Source organism: Homo sapiens, chromosome 2, assembly GCF_000001405.40.
Source record: "Homo sapiens chromosome 2, GRCh38.p14 Primary Assembly".
NCBI classification, from domain to species: Eukaryota; Metazoa; Chordata; class Mammalia; order Primates; family Hominidae; genus Homo; species Homo sapiens.
Window position 1 is genome coordinate 20,426,394 of NC_000002.12, and position 9,655 is coordinate 20,436,048.

Below are 9,655 nucleotides of genomic sequence, written 5' to 3' on the forward strand. Positions count from 1 at the left end.
TTCCAAAGAAATATATATATGCTTATCTTTGAGACAAGGTCTCACGCTGTTGCCCAGGATAGAGTGCAGTGGTGCCATCATGGCTCACCACAACCTTGACTTTCTGGGCTTAGGTGATTCTCTCACCTCAGCCTCCTGAGTGGCTGGGCCTATGCCCAGCTATGCCCAGATAATTTTTGTATATTTTTTTGTAGAGATGGGGTTTTGCCATGTTGTCCAGGCTGGTCTTAAACTCCTGGGCTCAAGTGATCCTCCCACCTCGGCCTCCCAAAGTGCTGGGATTACAGGCATGAAGCACTGCACTGAGCCCAATTTCTTATAAATAATCTTTTTACACACACACACACACACACACACATACACACACACACACACACATGCATCTATTGGTTCTGCTTCTCTGGTGATGCTGACCACAGCATCACCTTGGACCTTGTGAGAAAAGTGCATTTTCTTGGGCCCTGATCAGACCTACTGGATCAGAAACCCTGGGAGCGAGGCTCAGAATCTGAGTTTGGGAAAACCCTGCAGGTGATTCTGCTAAGAGTTAAGTTTGCTGCTTTTAAAATGAACATTAGAGAAAAGGGAGCTCAAAGTCCTTGACTTAGTTCTCTTATCTTTTATTGGAATATTCTTGGGTTTCATTGAGCACCTAATTTGGTTTCATCTACTATAAGTGGGTGTCAAACACTTGGTCTTCTAAATAGCCTGGATTTTGGGGTGAGGGGGGAGTGTAGAGGGAGATGAGGGTTGAGGCAGAGTCTTGAGGATTGCCCGAGCCACACCATCCACTTCCATGTGCTAAGGGATGACTGATATGGTTTGGCTCTGTGTCCCCACCCAAATCTCACCTTGAGCTGTAATAATCCCCATGTGTCAAGGGTGGAACCAGGTGGAAATAATTCAGTCATGGGGGTGGTTTTCCCCATGCTGTTCTCGTGATAGTGAGTTCTCACGAGATCTGATGGTTTTATAAGGGGCATCCCCCCTTAGCTTGGCACTCATTCTCCCTCCTGCTGCCCTGTGAAGAGGTGCCTTCCACCGTGACTGTATAAGTTTTCTGAGGCCTCCGCAGCCAGCCGTGTAGAACTGTGAGTCAATGAAAACTCTCTTCTTTATAAATTACCCAGTCTCAGGTATTTCTTCCTAGTAGCATGATAACTGACTAATACAATGACCTTGGTTTAATCAGGCAACTTTTAGAGTCATATCTTCCTCTAGTCAGCCAGGCTGGAGCTGGCTGTTAATCTACTTGGGCACCCTCTACCATGCTCTCCTCCACTCTACCCGACTTTCCCTGTTTCTAAAACATTTTACTGCTCAGTCCAAGGCTCCTGGTTTTCTTGCTGGTTCTGTCTCCCACTGTATAGCATTCATAAACAAGTCTCTACCACTCTAGGCCTCAGTTTCCTCATCTGAAAGACAAAAAGCTTAAGCCTGGGCTTCCAGGGAAATTGCAAGGATGGAATACGAATTGGGCGGGGGGTGGGTAGTTGTTAAAATTATATATTTACTCCCTTTTGTGGCCACGGACATCTGGAAATCATGTGTCACTAGAAGGGTGGGAAAGGCTGAGCGGACTGTGCCAGGCCCATCCACTGGACGACACGAAAGGGCTCTGGGGCAGGGCCCGGCTGCAGCTGCCAGCACCTCTGCCTCTTGGGGCATGTGATCCTCTAGACCTATGGACGGGGAGGTGTCAGTGATGGGAGAAGCTGCCGTGTGAGGTTTCCTGCCAGTCCCAATGGAGAATCACAGTGCAGGCCCTTGGGTACTGGAGTGAAGCCGTGGCCTCTGCAGTGGAGAACTAAATGCCTCTTGAACAACTGGCATGCTTCTGGGCCCTACGATAGACTGATCACCTGAGCATGGGACACCAAGTGACCATGAAGCTGAAACTGCCCATTGTGAACTGAGTCATATCAGAACCACCAAATCAGAGTGCAGCAGGCCCAGCTGCAGGCCATAGTGAGACAGAAGAGGCACGCCTGGAACTGGGCATGAACAGGACTGGAGGGTACAAGCAAGCAGGATCCCTGGGCAGTAGCTCCCTTAGCTCATGCCCATGGCCATGTGGGGCATCGGAAACATACAGCTGAAGGAGGAGGAAAGAGCCCAAGCTGCTTTATGAATAGGTTCACTGGGTAGGTGATGTACCCTCAAAATGGATGGCGGCTGCATTGCAGCCTCTAACTAACAATATAGTTTAGTGCATACAGAAAGGTGCTTTTCATTCATTCATTCATTCTCTTGTTTATACATTACTTTCTTTCCTTCATTCCCTCTCTCATAAAGCACATGCAGTTTGGATGTGATGCCTCCTATCTCCCCGGGTGGAACCTGACACTTTTATTCAAGTCTTCTTTCTAGCCAGCCTTCCAGCGGCATTTAAAATGCTTATATGGGGCTGGGCATGGTGGCTCATGCCTGTAATCCCAGCACTTTGGGAAGTCGGAGCAAGATGACTGCTTGAGGCTGGGAGTCCAACACCAGCCTGGGCAACATGGCGAGACCCTGCCTCTACAAAAATTTTAAAAATTAGCTGGGTGTGGTGACGTGCAACTGTGGTCCCAGCTACTCGGGATGCTGGGACCACAGCCTCCTGGCAGGAGGGTCACTTGAGCCCGGGAGTTTGAGGCTGCAGTGAGCTATAATCACACCACTGCACTCCAGTCTGGGTGGCAGAGTGAGACCCTGTTTCAAAAGCAAATTCTTATGTGTCATTCATTTTATAAGAAAACAAAACTCTATTCCACTTCATCCTCTATCTATTGCCCATCTCTCTTCTCTTTGTAGCCAAACTGAAGAGCACTGACATTCCTCCCCAGAACTCCTCAATGGATCTCCTCCAATCAGGCCTCCACCCCGTCCTCCCTCTAAATGGTCCCTGCCTCCCCTCTCGGTCATGCCTCCATTCTCTCTATCCTCACTGCAGCCAGCCTACTGCAGGCCAGCCCTACTCCTGCATAGATATTTGCTACGGCCTCCTAGATTATCTTCCTGAGACAATTTTTGTTTCTTGGGTCCATCCCCACGAGACAACCAGGGTGATTTCTTGGGAGCATAAATCTCAGTATTTCACAGGCTGTATTAGTCTCCTAGGGCTGCCATAACAAAGTATCTGAGACTGGGTGGCTTAAACAACAGAAATTTATTTTCTTACAACCTGGAGGCTAGAAGTCCATGATCAAGGTGCCAGCAGGTTGGTTTATACTATGGCTTTTCTTTTTGGCTTGCAGAAGGCCATTTTCTCCCTGTGTCCTCACACAGCCTTGCCTCTGTGCCGCAGCTGTCTTGGTTTCTATTCCTCTTGTTATGAGAACACCAGTCCTATTGAGTTAGGGCCCCACCCTATGACCTCATTTAACTTTAATTATCTCCTTAAAGGCTCTGTCTCCAAATACAGTCACACTAGGAGACAGAGCTTCAACATATAAACTTGGGGGCACACAGTTCAGTCCATAACACATACCTACACATTTCTGTTACTCTCAGGATAGAACAAAACCCTTTATTTACATGGTCTATAAAGCCCTGCACGACCTGGAGCCTTGCCTGTTTTCCAATCTCATCCGGTCAATTCTCGCCTTTCTTCTGTTTAATTCTCAGTTCCTCAGACATGCAGGCTTCTTGCCTCTCTAGGACCCTACTACATAATGTTTCTCTTGCCTGAAGTATTCCCGTTTACCACCCTCCCCACTCCCTCAGCTTGCATAATGCCTATTTGTTTTTGAAAATCTAGCTCACATATCTTCCTTGGGAAGTTTCCCATGGCACAAGGTCAGAGCGCCCACTTACATTTCCTCTGCACACCTGTTTTGTTCACTGTTGTGTGCCAGGCACCGAGCACAATGCACTGTATACACGAAGTGCTTAAAAAATAAGTATCAAAGAATTCACAAAGGTTGAAGGTAGTTGCCTTGTTGGACTTCTGATAAAGAGGAGGACCAGCAGTCCTGTGAACCACCTTCTAGCCAGGAAAGCCAGGCTGATGAGTTATATCATCCTGATTTATTTAGGAAATTGCATAGAAGACTCTAGCTAAAATCTCAAGGGTGAATGTTAAAGTTCCATCTCTGCCCAAATTGCTCAACCATGGGAGACTGTTTTCAAAGACGGCAGAAGCAATTCATCCCATGCTTCTTTGCAATGTGTCTTTCCTGCTCCTTCCGACAAGAGGGGACATCCACTTGTCTTCTCCTTAAATCTGGACTGGTCTTGTGACTTGCTTGGGCCAACAGAATTCGGTGGAAGTGATGCTATTTAATATGTGAGTTTTAGGTCCCACCTTCATCTGCTTCCGCTTGATTGGAATACTGCCCTGAGACCACCATGTAAGGCAGCTGGGTTTACTTCTTGGAGGGTGAGAGGCCACGGGCAGTGGCATCACAGTGACCTAGCCAACAGCCAGCACCAACTTCTAGACATGGGAGTGAGACCTTATGGGGCCTTCCTGCTCAGCCAACCTCCAGCTGAAACTAACCACACAAGAGTGCCCAGGACAGACCAACAGAGGAACCCACAGAATTAAGAGAATAAGAAATCTTTCCTGGGTGGTTGATTACCCCAAAAAGGCTAATGGCCATTAGTCCTCCTGATTTCCCCATGATAAACCCATTTCCCCTCCTCTAAACAGTCACACCCTCTCCCCCGCTCTCTCACTATCACTCAGTGTGACTCATCAGAACCCTCCAAATTGTCACTGTTTCCAACTGTAGATCCAAAAGGAACACAGATGAGATAGATGATTCACAGCAGAGTCTACAGGTGTGACTCTGCAGGGTCTGGATATAAGAGCACTGTCACGGACCACATTCTTGCTGAAACATGACCACATTCACTCACTTAGGACATGGGGCTCCTGAAGTGGAAGCTGGAGGCAGTCACTGTGCTCATCTCATACCCCCTTGGCTACAATTTCTAAATTTGAAATGCAATCCAGAATTCTTGTCATATGAAAAGTTCCTTCCTATGACACATGTACATATCCTAGAATCTCTTCCACATGCTAACACACCTATCCAATTGCAATATTGGTCATTCTGCACTGTGCGTATCAGAAAAAACTTGCAAATAGCCCAAATGTCCAACCACGGGAGGATGGATAAGTGTTACAAAATGGAATACTATCCAGGCAAAATAAATAAGCAAGAGCTACATGTATTTGCATTGCTAATTTCATTGTAACATACCATTGAGTAGAAACAGCAAGTTGTAGAAGTTATATATAGTACTATTCACATAAAAGTTAAAAACATGCGAAACCCAACCAGATATTCTTTCTGATATAGTCATATGTGGTAAAGGTATAAATATATGCACGGGGATATTAAATAACATGTTTAATAGGATTGGGGAGAGGTACACAGGAGTTTCACATGTACCTAAGTGATTTGAAATAAATGTGAGAAATTCAAAGATTGGCAAAGCTGGGTGGCTGATATTGTTATCTACATTTTTCTTATACTTGAGTCATTATAGGATAAAAAGTATAGAAGTTTCCGTTTCCCTCTTTTTACTAGCCAGGCACATTTTCCACAGGCCAATCTCTTCAACATTGCCTAGCGGAAGCCCTTCTGACCCTTGGTGGCAAAAGAGGTCCATGGTGAGCTTAGTTTTATTTACTGACAAGAGAGCTTTTAAGTCAGGGAGGGTTTCAGAGGGCAGCAGAGAGCGTTGCCTCCAGGAAGGGCTATTTTCCCCGTATGGGCTCAGTAAATGATCTCTAACGGAGTGCATGGTTTTGGCAAGACCTCCTATACCAACTCTCCTCTAAATGCCTACCATCTTCTGATCAGCCATCCCAGCTGCTGGCTTTAAGGTACAAGGGCAAACCTTGATGAAGACCTCAGGAAATGTCCACTCATACAGACAGCACCTGTGAGAGGCCCATACAGAGGCTGTTTCAGGAAGGGAGTGGGTGGTTCATTGAGAAGGAAAAGGAAGATGAGGGGACAATTTGGGAAACATACTTCAAGGAAGGGAGTGCACAAAATGGCATTCACTGTCCAAGAGCTCTACAGTCACTTGTGTGTGTGAACTGGCAATTTGAAGACCCTCCACCCAGGCTGGGTGCGGTCGCTCACACCTGTAATCCCAGCACTTTGGGAGGCCAAAGAGGGAGGATCACTTGAGCCCAGGAGTTTGAGACCAGCCTGGGCAACAAGCAAGATCACATCTGTTCAAAAAATCCAAAAAGTATCTAGGTGTGTTGGCGCATACCTGTAGTCCCAGCTACTTCAGAGGCTGAGGTGGGAGGATTGCTTGAGCCCAGAAGTCGAGGCTGCAGTGAACTGTGATGGCACCACTGCACTGCAGCCTGGGCAACACGGTGAGATCCTGTCTCACAAACAAGAAGAAGAAAAAGAGAACGAGGAGGAGGAAGAAGACCTGCTGCTTGGAGGAGTCTGAAAATAGCCATGGGAATAGTAACAAGAGGTTTAATGCTCATCTGAACCAACCACTTGGCACATGGTTGCTGTCCACTGGCACAGATTGCTTATGGGAAGCTGGTTTCAACATTTACTGGCTGCACAAGCCTAGGCAATTTATTTCAACTCTCTAACCTTTGCTTCCTTATCTGTAAATTGTGGGGCTAAGAGTATAACACAAATAAGGTCGGATCGCTTTGGGTTCAAGCTCAGTTCCACGTTGCATTCAGAAGGCACATCATTCCAGCTCAAAAAATATTTGGAAAAGAAATGTAAATATATACAAAAAAAAAAAAAAACCTCTCCCAAGGAGATGGCAAAGGGGAGCTACAGAGCAGAACACAAAATTCCCTGAACATTCTCCTTGCCCAGCCCATTCCAGAGCTTGGTTGTCAAGGCAGCCTCTCCCCCAAATCTTCCTCCTCTCTTTTCTGCATCTCTGTGCTGGGCTGGCTCCCTCCTCTCCCTCCACTTCTCTCTTGACTCCTTCCTGGCCTTCTGGACCAGGTGCTTGCTTCTGGGACAAGCTCCAGGCCCTTTAAAAAAAATGTGCATCAATTTAGACTTTAGTCCCCTTTCAAGTCTCCTCTCCACTAAGGGCAACAAGAAAGGGCGAGGGTCGGCAGGCCAACTTGGAATCCACCCGGAAGAGGCACAAGGGGGAGGCGGCTGCTGAAAAAGGCGCTCATTATGAACACATTCTGTCACTAGTGACAGAAGTCAGATGAAGTTATGTTATGAAGTTAGATGAGATACTGCGTGCATCGAGACCTTAATAGGAGCTAACACATGAAGTCCCCAAATTGTTACTCATTATTCCTATTAGAATCATCATCATTAGTACTACTAGTAGTATTTAAATATTATTTATTTATTTTATAGTATAATTTATTATAATTCCAAGAGCATCAGCCAAAAGTTAAACAGGAGGCTGCAGTCTGCCTTCATGGTACCCAGTGCTTGATTTAACCACCACAGCCACATCATCACCAGTGCAGCAGGACACGCAGAGGGTGGTGTTTCTTAAACTTTAATGTTCAGATGAATCACCTGGAGATCTTGTTAAAACCCAGATTCTGATCTTGTAGGGCCTGGACTGGGCTGGGGCCTGGATTCTGCTTTTCTACAAAGCTTCCAAGAAATGCCAGTGTTGCTGGTCCAGGACCATCACTTTGAATAATGAAAGCCTAATGTTCCACCAAATCCCTTCAGCTATGAAGCTCTAGGTGTACCCCTGAGGTCCCAGAGAGGACAAACCCTATGTGGACTGTGATGGGAGGGAGGAGGGGGACAAGGGCCTGGCCTGTGGGGGCTTCAGGTCTCCAGGTGGTTGACTGACCTCCACCATGGATACAGATGCAGCCCTCCCCGTGCCTCCTGTCTGTCAGCCATGGCAGGTGCCCGTCTCATCTCTCACCTGATAACCCAGGAGAGGAGAGTGAAATTCGAGATAGCCCAACACTCACACTCACACAAATACATGTACCACACACACAACACACCACACACACAAAAGATACACACAACACACACACAGCACAGACAACACACATAACACACATACAACTTTCTCTGAGGCTCCCAGGCTCCCACTGAATGGGAGAGGAGGTGACTGCTCGGGAGGTGGGGACATTTCTACCAAGAGTCCTGCTGTTTTCTCAAATCTATCTTCACCTCTCCACCTTTGCTCTGCCTGATAGCCAGAGAGGCCACTCTTTTTTTTGTTTGTTTTTGAGACAGGGTCTCACTTTGTCACCCAGGCTAGAATGCAGTGGCTCGTTCATGGCTCACTGCAGCCTCGACCTCCCAGGCTCAAGTGATCCTCCCACTTCAGCCGCCTGAGTAGCTGAGACTACAAGCACATGCCTGGCTAATTAAAATTTTTTATTTTTTGGTAGAAGCAGGGTCTCCCTATGTTGCCCAGGCTGGTGTCGAACTCCTGGGTTCAAGTAAACCTCCCATCTTGGTCTCCCAAAGTGCTGGGATTACAGATGTGAGGCATCATGCCTGGCCTAGGCCTCCTAATCTGAAGCCTGCTTCCCTCCTTCGTCCCTCTGTGAGCCATCCCCAACACAGCTGCCACCTCATGGAACAAAACATGTCACCTCCTTCTTAAAACCTTCAGTGGAGGAACATATTTACATAAAAAAACTCACTGACTCCCTTTTCCCTCAATTTAAATTGTTTACCTTCTCTACAGAAAAGAGTAAACATGGTAGGCCTCACTGCCTGTTCTTAGGAAGCCCTGCTTCATAAGAAGCACGTTGGTTCTTGCCTGGAGTTTGGAACAGTTCTCACCAGGAACCGACAAGAGTGGCTCGCTGTGCCTAAATTGTTTGTCTAAACAATATGGTTTATGCTGAACACCTGCCTTCCTTCTGAAAGTCTGGAATTTGGGTACATGCCAGGCAGAAGGTACCTATTTGACCACCCCTGAATTAGTCAGGGTTCTCCACACCAGAGAGAGAGAGAAAGAGAGAGAGAGAGAGGTTTTTAAAAAAAAATTTTTTTTTTGAGACAGAGTTTTGCTCTGTCACCAGGCTGGAGTACAGTGGCACAGTCTTGGCTCACTGCAACCTCCGACTCCCTGGTTCAAGCGATTCTCCTGCCTCAGCCCCCCTAGTAGCTGGGATTACAGGCACGCACCACAATGTCCAGCTAATTTTTGTATTTTTAGTAGAGACAGTGTTTCACCATGTTGGCCAGGATGGTCTCGATCTCCTCACCTTGTGATCCACCCGCCTCGACCTCCCAAGGTGCTGGGATTACAGGCGTGAGCCACCGTGACTGGCCGAGAGAGGTTTATTTTAAGGAATTGGTTCATGATTGTGGGAGCTGGCAAGTTCAGAACCCGTAGGGCAGATTGGCAAGCTGGAAATTCCGAGCTGTTGTTGCAGCCTTGAGCCCAAATTCTGCAGCTGGAAGCTCAGGCAGGGTGTCTATGTAGCAGTTTTGGGAAGAATACCCCCTTCTTATTAGGGAAACCTGAGTCTTTACTCTCAAGACCTTCAACTAATTAGAAGAAGCCCACCCTCATTATAGAGCATAATCTTCTTTACTCAAAGTATTTGAGTAATTTAAATGTTAATCAAATCTAAAAAACACTTTCATAGCAATATCTAGTCTGGTGTTTGATTAAATAACTGGGTACCATAGCCTAACAAAGTTGACATAAAAATTAACCAGCAGTGCCGGGCACAGTGGCTCACACCTGTAGTCCCATC

General features: G+C 46.8%; 2 annotated features.

The window, feature by feature from the left end:
• Positions 3,206 to 3,405: an enhancer, noted in NCBI's record as "active region_15390". NCBI's record gives its function as "activates an Ori minimal core promoter by ATAC-STARR-seq in GM12878 lymphoblastoid cells {active_cell/tissue: GM12878}" and the evidence as "EXISTENCE:reporter gene assay evidence [ECO:0000049][PMID:35858748]".
• Positions 4,451 to 4,640: an enhancer, noted in NCBI's record as "active region_15391". NCBI's record gives its function as "activates an Ori minimal core promoter by ATAC-STARR-seq in GM12878 lymphoblastoid cells {active_cell/tissue: GM12878}" and the evidence as "EXISTENCE:reporter gene assay evidence [ECO:0000049][PMID:35858748]".